A 16,361-nucleotide genomic window follows, 5' to 3' on the forward strand; every position below is an offset into this window, starting at 1 on the left:
AATTGAAAAGATGCTGACTCTCATACCTGGGCCTAGGATCACAGCTACAATCATTGGTCTGTACCAGCATGAAGGTATCAGAGCATATTGTGACTCACGTGTATATTATATAAAGCCCTCGAGTGGTATAGAGAGTGTCCTAACAAGGCCCAGCACACAGGTGAGATTGTGACACTGGTATGCACACTAAGTTGACAGTAAAACTTGTCATCTTTCACATGAACACAGCCCACTATTGAGGTTCTAAATTTCAGACCCTTAAGCAGTTAAAAGTTTTAAAATTTCTTCTCATACCTGGATCTGATCTCCAGGTTAGTTGGTACTGTCAGAAACAAATTCAGCACACCCGTGAGGCTGTGGCTCCACTAAAGCAACACAAATCTGCAGAAGGGATTGAGGCTGTCATGCGCAGATACAGTTTACCAATGAGATTGTAACTCGTGTAGTTAGACAAAAAGCGCAGAAAGTGTTAATGCTCACGCCTACAACCAGGACATGTGTGGAATTGTTAGTCTCATCCCTGGACTTTCCTGCAGGTGTGATTGTGAAATATACCTCTGCTCAGCACCTGAGTGAATGACTCTTCTGCCTAGGCCCAGCCTGGAGACGGAATAGTGACATATGGCTGGACCCACCATCTACTTAATGTGACACTATTCTCCTGCATTTGATGCTGCTCACAGGAGGCATTTTGAAACATTGCTGGGCTTTGCACACAGGGGATTTGAGTCTCCTCTCCTGCCTTGGTGCTGGTCACAGAAGAATGTTGTGACATATAACTTGGCCCTTCACCCAAGTTATGTGACTCTTCTGCCATGCCCTGGCCACCTTGGCCATTGTAACATACTGCTGGGTCCATTACCAGTGTTATGTTGCTGCTGGGCTCTTCCTACAGGGGGCATTGTGATGTATCGCTGCACCCATTACCCAGGTGTTGTGACTATGCCTTCTTCCTGCTAACAGAGGTGATTGTGATCTTTCACTGGGCCCAGTACTTAGTTGATGTGACTCTTTTTGTCTTCCTAGGTCCTGCCAAGAGAGGAGATTGTGTCATATTGCTGGGCCCAACAAAAAGCTGACATTACTGGCTGGGCGCGGTGACCCATGCCTGTAATCCCAGCATTTTGGGAGGCTGAGGAGGGTGGATCATGAGGTCAGGAGTTCCAGACCAGCCTGGCCAAGATGGTGAAACCCTGTCTCTACTAAAAATACAAAATTGAAAATTACAAAAATAAAAAATTAGCCAGGCGCAGTGGCAGGTGCCTGTAATCTCAGCTACTTGGGAGGCTGAGGCAGGAGAATTGCTTGAACCTGGGAGGTGGTGCTTGCGTAAGCTGAGATTGCACCACTGCACTTTAGCCTGGGCAACAGAGCAAGACTCCGTCTCAAAAAAAAAAAAGAGCTGAAGTTACTCTTTTGCTCAGCCCTGCCCTCAAAAGGCATTGTGACATATTGCTGAACCTAGCACCAAGGTGATGTGAGTCTCCCTGTAAACCCTGCCCACAGGTGGCATTGCGGCATGTCTTCTAGCCCATCAACTATTTGATGTCATTCTCCTCTCTTACCTTGGCTTTGCTCATAAAAGAGATTGTGACATATTTTTAGGCTGAGAACCTAGGTGATGTGACTCTCTTCTCTTACCTGGGCCATGCCCACAAAATAAAGTGGCTTATCACCAGTACACAGGTGACGTGATTCTTCTGCCTGGTCCCTGCCCACAGAGGTAATTTTGACTTATCTTTGGGCCCATCTTATAGATGATTTGACTTTCTTCTTACTGGGATCTATCTATGGTTAGAATTGTGACATATCATTTGGACCAGCACCTGTGTTATGTAACTTTTTTTCCCTGAGCTCTACTAACAAAGGTCATTGTGACATATCTCTGGGCCCCTCACCTAGGTGATGTGAATCTCCTGCTTCATTCTTTCCCTCAGAAAGTATCGTGACATATTTCTTGACCCAGTATCTAGGTGATGTAATTCCCTTCTACTGCTTGGGCTCTGCCCAAGTAGGGATTGTGATGTATGCCTGGGCCCAGAACCTAGGTGACATGACTCTCCTCTCCTTCCTGGGTCCAGTATACTTTGTGTATTTTGACATATGGCTGGGACCAACATCTAAGTGATGTGACTCTTGCCTTGGCCCTGTCCACGGGTGTATTATGACATATCTCTTTATTCATTACCTAGGTGATGTCACTTTCTTCTGCTGCCTGGGCCATGTCAAAAGGGAGGATTGGGACATATTACTTGACCCAGGAGCTAAGTGATATAACTCTCCTATTTGCCTGGGCTTTGCATATGTTAGGTATTGTGACAAATCACTGGGCCCTACATTTATAGAATTGGAGGCTTCTGCCTTGGCCCTTTCCACAGAGGGACTGTTTACATCTCCCTGCATCCATCACCTAGAAGATGTGACTTTTGTTCTTCCTGCATCCTGCCCACAAAGAAGATTGTGACATATTGCTGGGTCCACCATTAAGGTAATCTGCCTCTCCTGAGAGGGTGTTGCTCATACTGAGCATCGTAAGATATTACTGGGCCCAGAACCCATGTGATGTGACTATGCATTCTGTGCCTTGCTTTCAGGAGGGGATTGTCAAATAAGATCCCTCCCTGAGCACCCAGGTAATGTGACTCTCCTGCTAATGTGACTCTCCTGCCTGGTCCCTGTCCTCAGGGAAGACTGTAACATATCACTTGCCCAGCACCCAGGTGATGTGACTCTCATGCTTGCTCTCTACTGGATTATGACATATATCTTGGTCCAGCTCACAGGAGAGCTGACGATCCTCTTCCTACAAGCCAGCCAATGTAAGAGATACTGTCATAGCTAGGCTTAGTGAATTAGGTAAGAGCCTGGGTCTCCTCTTTGTATGACAGCTATGGAGAAAGCATTGTGACATATTGCTGGGCCCAGAACAAAGGTGATTTGAGTCTCTTACCTAGACCCTGATTACAGGGACATTGTGACATATCTCTGGGTCCATCAACTATTTGATGTGACTCTCCTCTGTTCCCTGGCCTTTGCCTATAGAAGACATTGTGACATATCTCTGGGCCCTGCACCAGGTGATTTGGCTTGCCTTTTCTACCTGGGCCATACCCACAGATAAAGGGTGACTTATCACAGAGCCCAGCACACAGGTGATGTGGTTCTTCTGTCTGGTCCCTGCCCACAAGGGTTATTGATACATATCAATACATATACATATGTGTGGCCTCAACATGTAGATGATGTGACTATTTTCTTTTCTTTTTCTTTCTTTTTTTTTTTTTTTGAGATGGAGTTTCGCTCTTGTTGCCCAGGCTGGAGTGCAATGGTGTGATCTTGGCTCACTGCAACCTCCACCTCCCGGGTTCAAGTGATTCTTCTGCCTCAGCCTCCTGAATAGCTGGGATTACAGACGTGTGCCACTATACCCGGCTAATTTTGTATTTTTAGTAGAGATGGGGTTTCACCATGTTGGCCAGGATGGTCTTGATCTTTTGACCACGTGATCCACCTACCTCAGCCTCCCAAAGTACTGGGAATACAGGCGTAAGCCACCGCACCCAGCCTAATTTATATTTTATGTAGATCATTTTATCTCTTCTATAATGATAATGGAATGCACAGCTTTTTAATAATAGAAGCTTTAAGAACTCAGGAATGAACAACTGGCTGTTGGCTGTCTAGGTTCTTCATGGGTCCACACTGAACATTAAATTTATGTCCTCTTAAGTACGAAGTTTGTGTCTCCAAATTAGGTGCATAGGACAAATAAATGAGGGGTTCTTATAGGTGATTTGACTTGGACCGCAGAGTTTATTCAAATGGCATACTAAAAAATTTTAGCGCAGCTTCAGCAGACTTAAACATCCCTGCCTGACGGCTTTGAAGGGTGCAGAGGACCTCCCAGCTCAGCGTTTGAGCTCTGCTAAGGGTCAGACTGCCTCCTTATGTGGGTCCCTGACCCCCATGTATCCTGACTGGGAGACACCTCCCAGTAGGGGCTGACAGACACCTCATACAGGAGAGCTCTGGCTGGCATCTGGCAGTTGCCCCTCTGGGTGCTTCCAGAGGAAAGAACAGGCAGCAATCTTTGCTGTTCTGTAGCCTCCTCTAGTGATACACAGGCAAACAGGGTCTGGAGTGGACCCTCCAGCAAACTCCAGCAGACCTGCAGCAGAGGGGCCTGACTGTTAGAAGGAAAACTAACAAACAGAAAGGACTAGCACGTCCACACAGAGACCCCATCCGAAGGTCACCAACATCAAAGACCAAAGGTAGATAAATCCACAAAGATGGGGAGAAACTAGCGTAAAAAGACTGAAAATTCCAAAAACTGTAACGCCTCTTCTCCTCCAAAGGATCACAACTCCTCGCCAGCAAGGGAACAAAACTGGACAGAGAATGAGTTTGATGAATTGACAGAAGTAGGCTTCAAAAAGTGGGTAATAACAAACTCCTTTGAGCTAAAGGAGCATGTTCTAACCCAATGGAAGGAAGCTAAGAACCTTGAAAAAAGGTTAGCCAATTTGCTAACTAGAATAACCAGTTTAGAGAACATAAATGACCTGATGGAGCTGAAAAACACAGCACAAGAACTTCATGAAGCTTACGCAAGTATCAATAGCCGAATCAATCAATCAGAAGAAAGGATATCAGAGATTGAAGATCAACTTACTGAAATAGAGCAAGTAGACAAGATTAGAGAAAAAAGAATAAAAAAAGGAATGAACAAAGCCTCTAAGAAATATGGGACTATGTGAAAACACCAAATCTACATTTGACTGGTGTACCTGAAAGCAACGGGAAGAATGGAACCAAGTCGGAAAACAGTTTTCAGGAGATTATCCAGAACTTCCTCAACCTAGCAAAATAGGCCAATATTCAAATTCAGGAAATACGGAAAACACCACAAAGATACTCCTCGAGAAGAGCAACCCGAAGACGCATAATCGTTAGATTCACCAAGGTTGAAATGAAGGAAAAAATGTTAAGGGCAGCCAGAGAGAAAGGTCGGGTTACACACACAGGGAAGCCCATCAGACTAACAGTGGATCTCTCTGCAGAAACCCTACAAGCCAAAAGAGAATGGGGGTCAATATTCAACATTCTTAAAGAAAAGAATTTTCAACCCAGAATTTCATATCCAGCCAAACTAAGCTTCATAAGTGAAAGAGAAAGAAAATCCTTTACAGACAAACAAAGGCTAAGAGATTTTGTCACCACCAGGCCTGCCTTACAAGAGCTCCTGAAGGAAGCACTAAATATGGAAAGGAACAACAGGCACCAGCCACTGCAAAAACATACCAAATTGTAAAGACCATCGACACTATGAAGAAACTGCATCAACTAATGGGCAAAATAACCAGCTAGCATCATAATGACAGAATCAAATTCACATATAACAATATTAACCTTAAATGTGAATGGGCTAAATGCGCCAATTAAAAGACACAGACTGGCAAATTGGATAAAGAGTCAAGACCCATCAGTGTGCTGTATTCAGGAGGCCCATCTCACGTGCAAAGACACACGTAGGCTCAAAATAAAGGGATGGAGGAATATTTACCAAGCAAATGGAAAGCAAAAAAAAGCAGGAGTTGCAATCCTAATCTCTGATAAAACAGACTTGAAACCACCAAAGATCAAAAGAGACAAAGAAGGCCATTACGTAATGGTAAAGGGATCGATGCATCAAGAAGAGCTAACTATCCCAAATATAAATGCACCCAATACAGGAGCACCCAGATTCATAAAGCAAGTTCTTAGAGACCTACAAAGAGATTTAGACTCCCACACAATAATAGTGGGAGACTTTAACACCCTGCTGTCAATATTAGACAGGTCAACGAGACAGAAAATTAACAAGGATATTCAGGCCTTGAACTCAGCTCTGGACCAAGTGGACCTAAAAGACATCTACAGAACTCTCCACCCTAAATCAACAGAATATACATTCTTCTCAGCACCTCATTGCACTTATTCTAAAATTGACCACATTATTGGAAGTAAAGCACTCCTCAGCAAATACAAAAGAATGGAAATCACAACAAACAGTCTCTCAGACCACAGTGCAATCAAATTAGAACTCAGGATTAAGAAACTCACTCAAAAGCGCTCAACTACATGGAAACTGAACAACCTGCTCCTAAATGACTACTGGGTAAATAACGAAATGAAGGCAGAAATAAAGATGTTCTTTGAAACCAATGAGAACAAAGACACGATGTACCAGAATCTCTGGAACACATTTAAAGCAGTGTGTAGAGGGAAATTTATAGCACTAAATGCCCACAAGAGAAAGCAGGAAAGATGTAAAATCAACACCCTAACCTCAAAATTAAAAGTACTAGAGAAGCAAGAGCAAACAAATTCAAAAGCTAGCAGAAGACAAGAAATAATTAAGATCAGAGCAGAACTGAAGGAAATAGAGACACAAAAAACCCTTCAAAAAATCAATGAATCCAGGAACTGGTGTTTTTGAAAAGATCAACAAAATCGATAGGCTGCTAGCCAGACTAATGAAGAAGAAAAGAGAGAAGAATCAAATAGTTGAAATAAAAAATGATAAAGGGGATATCACGACTGATCCCACAGAAATGCAAGGTGCTGGAACTACAGGCATGAGCCACCGTGCCTGGCCAAATTCTCACAATCTTTACCTAATTCAAACAATATAATTCTAACGTTATCAGAAATCTGTGCTCAACTCATCTGGGCCTTTTCCATCTTTTCATGAACCTCCTTGAATACACAGTACTCTAGGATTTTTCATGCTTTTAAAGTTTTTAGAAACTACATCAGAATTAAGCCATTAACTGTGGAAATGACTTTCATGGTTATAAAGAAACAAATTAAAAGAAATTGATTATATCTGTTGCCTACAATAATTTATCATAATAACCATAATTATGAATAAGAGCGTATACTCAGATACATTAGAGTTTTAGAAATTTCATACAATTTTGACATAAATATTAATAACATATTTATTAAAATATAAGTCGAAGGAGGTCAAATATATATATATAGTTTTAAGACAGAATCTCGCTCTGTCACCCAGGCTAGAGAGTAATGTCACAATCTCAGCTCACTGGAACCTCTGCCTCCTGGATTCAAGCGATTCTCCTGCCTCAGCCTCCTGAGTTGCTGGGATTACAGGCACCCACCACCACGTCTGGCTTAATTTTTGTATTTTTAGTAGAGACAGGGTTTTGCCATGTTGGCAAGGCTGGTCTTGAATTCCTGACCTCAGGTGATCCATCTGCCTCAGCCTCCCAAAGTCCTGGGATTACAGGCATAAGCTACCACGCCTGGCAAACATTATTTTTATTTTGATAATGCTTCCATGTAAGTTAACTTTTTTTTTTTTCAGTCGAAGTTTTGCTCTTGTTGCCCAGGTGGGAGTGCAATGGAGCGATCTTGGCTCACTGCAACCTCTGCCTCCCAGGTTCAAGCCATTCTCCATTCTCCAGCCTCAGCCTCCTGAGTAGCTCAGATTACAGGCGCTCACCACCATGCCCAGTTAATTTTTGTATTTTTAGTAGAGACAGGGTTTCATCATGTTGGCCAGGATGGTCTCCATCTCTTGACCTGGTGATCTGCCCGCCTCCCCCTGCCTGTTTATCACTCTTTTGCATGCTGCATTGACACTCTATAGCATCCAAAAGTTTGGGGTGTAAAAAAAAGACACTTTTAAAGCAAAATTTGATGTTGGGAAGCCTGTCAAATATGTCATAGGGTTAAAACACTTCACTAAAATAGGACCACAGATCACCATAAAATAATAGTCATTTATTTATCCAAAGTGATAATTAAAAGATTTTAAAAACAAAATCATTTACTGTTTGATACAGGAGATTCAGTTTTCCAGTCAAAAAACCTGAGAAAGACTGCATGAGAAAAATTCTCTTTTTTACTTTCTTTATTTTAAAATTTATTCAAAAGGTGGACAAAAATATTGTACTATGTCATATTGATATGTAAAATTTTTGTTCAAAAGAAAATCAACTTTTACTTTTGTATTACTGTATTATTAATACTAAAGCTAACTTTAATAAAACCTTATAAATAAATCCATCAAATGTGTCATTTTTGGCTACTGTAGATTTTCATAAATATTTTATAGTCTATTATAATAAATTTTTCAACTTTTTATATTATATTTTTGGTTTTTTCTTTTTTCAATTTGAAACAATCATTAAGTAATTTCAAACTAGATAAAATGTTTCTAACTTTCTTCCTTAAAAGCATATTTTACTTTTGTTTATACATTCTCTATGCAGAATTGTTTTTCATACATCTAGTAGTTTTAATTATATACATATTAATTACATTAATTCTTAACAACCTTAGGTTATTTTATTCCTGCTGTCCTCTGCTCTTTTTATGGCCACGGTCTGTTCCACCTCAGAACTGAAGAGAGATGTTGGTAGGGAGAGGCTCTTCCCTCACCTCTGGCAGAAAAGGAATGTTCAGGCCCTTCAAACCCCTGTTGTCAAAGCTGCACTTTAATGTGACAGCTATTGGCCATGTATGGCTACTGGGTGTCCGGAATGTGGCTGGTCAGAACTGCGATGTGCTAGAAAGGTAAAATACAGAGTTAAAGATTTAGTTCCAAAAATATACACACTTTATTAATAATTACATATTGCTCAGATATTAATATAATATTTTTGATATAGTGGGTTAATTAAATGGTTAGAATGAATTCCACCTGTTTCTTCTTCCTTCCTTTTTTTTTTTTTTTTTTTTTGAGACGGAGTCTCACTCCGTCGTCCAGGCTGGAGTGCAGTGGCACTATCTCGGTTCACTGCAAGCTCTGCCTCCTGGGTTCACACCATTCTCCTGCCTCAGCCTCCCGAGTAGCTGGGACTACAGGCCCCCGCCACCGCGCCGGGCTAATTTTTTGTATTTTTAGTAGAGACGGGGTTTCACCGTGTTAGCCAGGATGGTCTCGATCTCCTGACCTCGTGATCCGCCCACCACGGCCTCCCAAAGTGCTGGGATTACAGGCGTGAGCCACCGCGCCTGGCCTTCTTCTTCCTTCTTGAAGTTTGACTGCTAGAAAATTTAGAATACACATGTGGCTCACGTTTTATTTCAGAGGATTGCCTCCTTTTTAAACTCTCAATCGGCCTGCTCAAAGGACCAGAATTCAGAAAGGGCATAAAATCTGGAATTTTAAAATAATTGTTATATTATTTTCATGTGTGAATAGCCACATAATATATTATTTATAAATGCATATGACTTTATATACAGGTTAAATGCAAATGCCTTCTGGGGTGGACCTGGCTCAACTCAGGGAGGAGCCCTGCCTGAAAAGGCTGCAGCTTAGGTTTCACTTTATCTTCTTCCAGCCCAGCATCTGAGCACAGCTTCTGTCACTCAGGGCCTGAGGGAGCAGGGCAGCAAACGTTATCCAATCAGGACTGCTGGGCTGGGAACCGTCCAATCAGGCACGCAGCTGGAGCGGACAGGACGGCTTCCGGGATTTGGCGGGGCCTTTGTCTCTGGCTGCAGCCGGAGCTCCTGCTCTCCTCCTCACTGCTCAGTGTCCTCTGCTCCTAGAGGCCCAGCCTCTGTGTCCCTGTGACCTGCAGATATTGGGAGATCCACAGCTAAGACGCCGGGACTCCCTGGAAACCTAGAAATGGTGAGAGTGCTGGGTCCGACATCCCGAGAGAGGGGGAGGGGCTGGTTGGAACCGATCGGAAGTGGCTGTGGCTGGACTCGGGCCTCCAAAGTCCGCGGCCCCAAGTTCTCCTTGGCGCAGCTCGGCCCTCAGTCCCCCGCGGCCCCGAGTTCTCCTTGGCGCAGCTCGGTCCTCAGTCCCCTTCAGCCGTAAGATGGCGGCTGGGCTGACAGCCGGGACCCTGGGCGTCCTGTCTCCTCCCTGCTCAGTGACTGTGCCCTGGCCTGGAGCCCTCTCCGGGCGGCTTTGCACCCGCAGCGCGGCATCTCTCCCCGATTGTGCAGGGATGCCGGGAGGGTCATCAGGGGAGAATCCTGACTCGGGATGCGGGGTTCATGAATGGGAAAAGCTTTAGTCTGTGGGGTTCCTAGTCCATCTTTTTTCTCTTAAAAATCTATGGAAGTCACCACAAAAATGTTAAAGAATTTAATCAAAGAGTAATTGAAGAATTATAGAGCACCCAGCTGTGGTTTGTAGTTTATTTTCCATGGGAGGGGCTTGAAGAAAAGACTTTTAGAAGGTGCATGATAAAGGAAAGCAAACTCAATAATTGGTTAGGTAGAGTTACGTAGTTTCTTAGTTTTAGATGAAGGTGGAAATTTTCTGGTCACGTAATCAGAGCTTAATTGGCAGTTCATGGTTGATTAAGTCTAAATTTTGTTTTCCCCAATGTAGTAATTTACAAAAAAAAAGCATTTGAGTTAGATTTTTTAAAAAGTAAAAACCCTGGGACTAGAGCCACCTCAGTCTAATTGCCTGCCATTTAGTTATTTTCACACTCCACAGGGGACAGATTTTCCCCTGCAACTTTCACGTGTCTCAAGCAGGGTCTCAAGACTACTCCCTATTCCCCATTCTTTTAGCCTAACTGACTTTCAGTAAAATGCTAAATTTCCAGTTTCCTTTGACATTCCCAAATCCCAGCTTCCCCTCCCTAATTCACATTATCAACTATTTGTCCTTTAGTGTACATTTTAGATACTGTATTTTAATTAATCATTGTTGACAAATTATTGGGTGGCACTTTAAACAAATTGTTTGCTGTTTGAAAATATTTCCAATGAGAAGAAAACAAAAAATAATCCCCTGACACTGTATTGTAAAAAAAAGTCTGTGCCTATTTTCCTTTTATCTTCCCTAGGCGCAGAGATCTTATCAGAATGTTTTTGGGTCAAGGTTTCCCTTTGGAAACTTTACAGGGTGATGTGTCCTCAGCCACCTTTCGGTTTTCTCCTGGTCCTGGGTTTCAGTACTGTCTGGGGATAAATCAAGATATCAACTGTGGCTGTGTATGCTAGAATCTCTAGTAAATTTCAGCTCCTGGCCTGGAATGGAACTCTGGGTATCTGGGAATGGGAGACAGAGGACAATCTGAGGTTGGAGTGTAGCCTCTCAAGGGAGCAGGTGGATGCCCTGGGGCTGAGAGGAATCTCCTGGTATACCCTTCCTTTGGAAAGCTAACCCTTTGAGGCATTAAGATTGTGTTCACTCAACCCGACTTCCATTTCTCAGAGGTACATTGCTGGTCAGCCAATCAGATGCTGGTATTGAGAGGAAAACTCAGAAATAATTTCTGCCCCCTGGATTCTCTAAGATTTGTGAAAGAAAAAATAGTATTCCAGAAGACAAAAAAAAAAAAAAATCAAACTTGACCCCAGTGAGATGGTACAAGAACTTGCAAAATGAAATGCACTTGGAGTAGTCACTGAGGCATAGGGCAGTGTCTACAGAGAGGGTGGTCATTGGGCACTTAAATGAGCAGGATGGGGTAGGAGAATCTAGTGTTTGGGTGGCCTGACTTGACACATGAGTCAGACACATCTGTTTTCTTTTTTTTTATTATTATTATACTTTAAGTTTTAGGGTACATGTGCATAACGTGCAGGTTTGTTACATATGTACACATGTGCCCTGTTGGTGTGCTGCACCCAGTAACTCGTCATTTAGCATTAGGTATATCTCCTAATGCTATCCCTCCCCCCTCCCCCCACCCCACAGCAGGCCCCAGTGTGTGATGTTCCCCTTCCTGTGTCCATGTGTTCTCATTGTTCAATTCCCACCTATAAGTGAGAACATGCGGTGTTTGGTTTTTTGTCCTTGCTGAGAACGATGGTTTCCAGCTTTATCCATGTCCCTGCAAAGGCCATGAACTCATCAGACACATCTGTTTTCTAATCAGCCCCGCCACTCCCTGGGTTTGTCACCTTGAAAAGATTTGTTCACTTATTTTGATTTCAGTTTTATAACTGTAACTTGCATTTTATTAGTATGATTTAAAAGTTAAGAAAATATTTACAGAGCATAAAAGAGGTGAGTTTCAGAGAAAAATAATATCTAATCATATATTCCATTTATTAAGAATTCTCATTTACCTTTTTCTTTCCCAGACTTAGTTTAGGAATTTACTCAGGTGTGTTTTTTATGGCTGGGTGATGTCCAACGGTATTCCAAGGCTTAGTTTTTAGAGTGCTAGCAGGGAAACAAAAAGGAAAAAAACCTCTCTTCCATTTTGACTGTAGAAAATGAATACATTTTTACAAGAAAATGTGGTAGATAATTGATGAGTTACATAGATTTATGAAAGCATCAGTTCCTCTTTTTGCAGGGTACTTTTGTTACAGTAAATACCTCTGTTCTATATCCTATCATCTTGATTTGTGAGGATAACGCTAATTTTTTTTTTTTTTTTTTTTTTTTTTTTTTTTTTTTGAGATGGAGTCTCGCTCTGTTGCTCAGGCTGAAGGGCAGTGGTGCGATCTCGGCTCACTGAAACCTCCGCCTTCCGGGCTCAAGCAATTCTCCTGCCTCAACCTCGCAAGTAGCTGGGATTACAGGCATGCACCACCATGCCCAGGTAATTTTTGTAGTTTTATTAGACACGGGGTTTCACCATGTTGGGCAGGCTGGCCTTGAACTCCTGACCTCAAGTGATCTGCCTGCCTTGGTCTCCCAAGGGATTACAGGCATGAGCCACTGCACCCAGCTGGTTAATGCTAAATTTTATGAGATGAAAGTTGGTACCTCCTAGAAGTATGACTTCTTGATTACTAATCCCATATGACTAATTGATTACTACCTAATTTTTAATGAAAATAATAGAATAATACATTTATCGTCTGAAAGAAATAAATACTTTGCATTTCTTACTGAGGTATGAAATGTAAGCACCTTAAAATTTCCTTCCCTTGGTTGGGTGCAGTGGCTCACGCCTGTAATCCCAGCACTTTGGGAGGCTGAGGCAGGCGGATCACCTGAGGTCAAGAGTTCAAGACCAGCCTGGCCAACATGGTGAAGCCCCGTCTCTACTGAAAAATTAGCCAGGTGTGGGTGACAGGCACCTGTAGTCTTAGCTACTCGGTAGGCTGAGGCAGGAGAATCACTTGAATCTGGGAGGCAGAGGTTGCAGTGAGCCAAGAGTGTACCACTGCACTCCAGGCTGGGCAACAGAGCGAGACTCTGTCTCAAAAAAAAAGAAAAAATAATTTCCTTCCCATATATAAATACTGTGCATAATTTTGCTGAATTTTTAAAGCAGTTTCAAAACCCAAGTGAATAACCTTGACATGGAAATTAAAGCTTATGCCCAGTGATTCCAAGCTAAGGCTAATATTGAGCCTGCAAAGGGAAGGGAGGTTATTAAAGGCCCAGTTAGTTCTTTCTTGGAAGCCTCCCCTGCTCACCCCAGCCATGGAAGAAGCCTTTATTCTGAGAGAAGCTACAGAGCCCTGGACGTCGGGGGACCCACAGGCAGATGCAGTTAACGTTAAGATGGAAGGGGAATGAGAGAGTCTTACTAAAGATGAAGTTGTTATCGTTTTGAGGCAGTATTTTACTTTTTGTAAAAACAGAATAAGGTTTCTGTAAAAAAAATTCTGAATTTTAAAGGAGTATTGCAACAGAAGGAAATACCAACTAAAAGATCTTTAAGAATTGCAAAGTTTAGGCAGACAAAGACTTTTTTTTTTAGGGAGGAGCAAAGAAGGTTAGAAAGAAGGTCACAGGGGAATGGCAAATGGAGGGTGAAAAAAATCAAATACTAGATTAGAACACTTTTATCCTGAAGTCATCAAGTCTTTAGGAGGGACAAAAAATGGGGTTGTATGTTGGCTCAGACTGAGGGTACCTCAAAGTTCAGGAGCCTGTGGAAAGGAGATAAACTTAAGTGAAGTTTGATTAAGAAGAACTTTCTTTTGACCACTGAAGAAAAATTCAGCTAATTTTTTAATATGAAAAAGAAAATATGCAGAGTGAGTGTTTGGTTATTAAACAGTTAAGAAAAAGAGTACCATCTAAGTCATAATGGGAAGGGTGTTTCTTTTCATAAACTGTTCCTGGAGAACACAAAGGATGGGGACTTTTATTAATCGCAGCTATTTACCAGGATTATCTATGTGCTTCATCTTTCCCCATCTCTTTTCTTTGTCCTATACATTTTTTCCATTTGAATTTTCCTGGGTTGTATCTTGTATAGTAAACTGGTCGACATAACCACAGTGTTTTGCAGAGTTCTGTGAGTAGCTTTATCAAATTATTGAACTTGAGGGAGTTATGGGAATTCTAAATTTTCAAACAGTAGTTTAGAAGCACTGATAGGCCCGTATGGTTTTTGACTGGCATCTGCAGTGAGGACAGTGTTGTGGGACTGAGCCCTGAATCAGGGTCTGCTGACTCTGGGGTCAGAATTCAAATGTTAAACAATGTGTTAGTTTTGGAGAATTGCTTGGTGTTAAGCAAACTTTACAGATTTGGTGCCAAAAGAAAGATATCACAGAGGCCTGGCCTGGAGTGGAACTCTGGGTGTCTGGGAATGCGACGCTCTACCCTCCTGTACACAGACTGTCACACTGCCCATTGTCCTGTGATTCCAGGTCTCCTTCCATGGTGAGAGAGGACTGAAAACTTAGAGGAAAGGAGGTCTGATTATAGACCCCCTTTTCTCGCAGCTGCCATCCCAGAATTTCCACCCACTCACAAACATACCCATTATACATTGATGTGTCCACACCCCTCCCAGGACTAGGCACCGCCCTTAGGAATTTCACTACAGCATTTTTTTATTCTAGTGTTTTTTGCCAAAAACCCACCAAAGTGTCTACAAGTCTCCTGACATATTCCTATTCCCAGACACTGAATCTGCAGCAGCAGCCTGCTCTCTCCACCAACCAAGGATTCTGGACCACCTGTTCATAATCTCATCTGCCTGCATGGACGCAAATAAATCAGAGGACAGCCCCATCTGGGCCACTATCTGTAGCACAGACCATTCCTCCCACCTACATGGCATTCTCCCCCACCCATGGATTTTTTTCCTTTTAACTTTTATTTCTGTTTTGGAGTACACATGCAGTTTGTTATATAGGTAAAATTGTGTCAGGGTGGTTTCGTGTGCAGATTATTTTATCGCTGAGATACTAAGCATAGCACCAAACAAGTATTTTTTTGATCCTTTTTGTTCTTTTTTTTTTTTTTTTTTTTGAGGCAGAGTCTCGCTCTGTTGCCCAGGCTGGAGTGCAGCGGCGCGATCTCTGCTCACTGCAAGCTCTGCCTCCCGGGTTCAGGCCATTCTCCTGCCTCAGCCTCCCGAGTAGCTGGGACTACAGGTGCCCGCCACCAAGCCCAGCTAAATTTTTTTTTGTATTTTTTAGTAGAGATGGGGTTTCACCGTGTTAACCAGGATGGTCTCGATCTCCTGACCTTGTGATCCACCCGCCTCGGCCTCCCAAAGTGCTGGGATTACAGGAGTGAGCCACCGCGCCCGGCTGGCGACCCTTTTTGTTCTTTCACCTTCCACCCTCAGCTAGGCCTCTGTTGTTCCCCTCTTTGTGTCCATGTGTTCTTATTATTTAGCTCTTATACATGAGAAAATATATTTGGTTTTCTATTCTGCATTAGTTTTCTATGGCTAATGGTCTCCAGCTTTATCCATGTTGCTGCAAAGGACGTGCTCTTGTTCTTTTTTATGGCCACATGGTATTCCATGATGTTTATGTATCATATTTTGTTTGTATTAAATATTTTGTTTTATTTTATTTTTATTATAATTATTTTTGGAGACAGGGTCTCATCTTGTCACACAGGCTGAAGTGCAGTGGTGTGATCTTGGCTCACTGCAGCCTCAACCTCCCTGGCTCAAGCAATCCTCCTACCTAAGCCCTCCAAGTAGCTGGAACTACAGATGTGTATCATTATGCCCGGCTAATTTTTCTTTTTGTATTTTTTGTAAAGACGTGGTTCTTCCACATTGCTCAGTCTGGTTTTGAACTTTTGAGTTCCGCAAATCTGCATGCCTCAGCTTACGAAAGTGCTGTGGTTACAGGTGTGAGCCACCGTGCCCTACCATACCATATTTTCTTTATCCAGTCTACCGTCGATAGGTATTTGGTTGATTCCGTATCTTTGCTATGTGAATAGTGCTGCAGTGAACATGCATGTGCATGTGTCTCTGTGATAGAATAATTTATATTTCTTTGGGTATAAACCCAATTATGAGGTGTCTGGGTCAAATGGTAATTCTGTTTCTAGTTCTGTGAGGAATCACCACACTGCTTTTCACAATGGTTGAACTAATTTACATTCCCACAGGCAGTGTACAAGCATTCCCTTTTCCCTTCAACCTTGCCAGCATCTGTTATTAACAACAGCCATTCTGACTGGTATGAGATGGTAT

The 16,361-nt window shown here is 42.5% G+C and overlaps 1 protein-coding gene across 9 annotated transcripts in view, besides 3 other annotated features; it reads left to right on the plus strand.

The window, feature by feature from the left end:
- Positions 9,241-9,390: an enhancer, noted in NCBI's record as "active region_26060". NCBI's record gives its function as "activates an Ori minimal core promoter by ATAC-STARR-seq in GM12878 lymphoblastoid cells {active_cell/tissue: GM12878}" and the evidence as "EXISTENCE:reporter gene assay evidence [ECO:0000049][PMID:35858748]".
- ZNF107 (zinc finger protein 107) overlaps positions 9,503-16,361 on the plus strand; it is a 45,445-nt gene continuing 38,586 nt past the window's right edge. For 4 of the 9 annotated variants that reach the window (NR_104148.2, NM_016220.5, NM_001388025.1 and 1 more), the window contains exons 1-2: positions 9,503-9,655; positions 12,407-12,548. Coding sequence is in view for 4 of the 9 variants with exons in the window: in NM_001388026.1 (NP_001374955.1) it covers positions 12,531-12,548 (18 nt within the window). In the remaining 5 variants the exon portion in view is untranslated. Of the gene's footprint in view, positions 9,656-12,406; positions 12,549-16,361 lie in introns of those variants that run through there. The other 5 variants (NR_104149.2, NM_001013746.3, NM_001282359.2 and 2 more) reach the window with 2 other exon arrangements.
- Positions 9,541-9,690: an enhancer, noted in NCBI's record as "active region_26061". NCBI's record gives its function as "activates an Ori minimal core promoter by ATAC-STARR-seq in GM12878 lymphoblastoid cells {active_cell/tissue: GM12878}" and the evidence as "EXISTENCE:reporter gene assay evidence [ECO:0000049][PMID:35858748]".
- Positions 9,711-9,830: an enhancer, noted in NCBI's record as "active region_26062". NCBI's record gives its function as "activates an Ori minimal core promoter by ATAC-STARR-seq in GM12878 lymphoblastoid cells {active_cell/tissue: GM12878}" and the evidence as "EXISTENCE:reporter gene assay evidence [ECO:0000049][PMID:35858748]".

Source organism: Homo sapiens, chromosome 7 (assembly GCF_000001405.40).
Source record: "Homo sapiens chromosome 7, GRCh38.p14 Primary Assembly".
NCBI classification, from domain to species: Eukaryota; Metazoa; Chordata; class Mammalia; order Primates; family Hominidae; genus Homo; species Homo sapiens.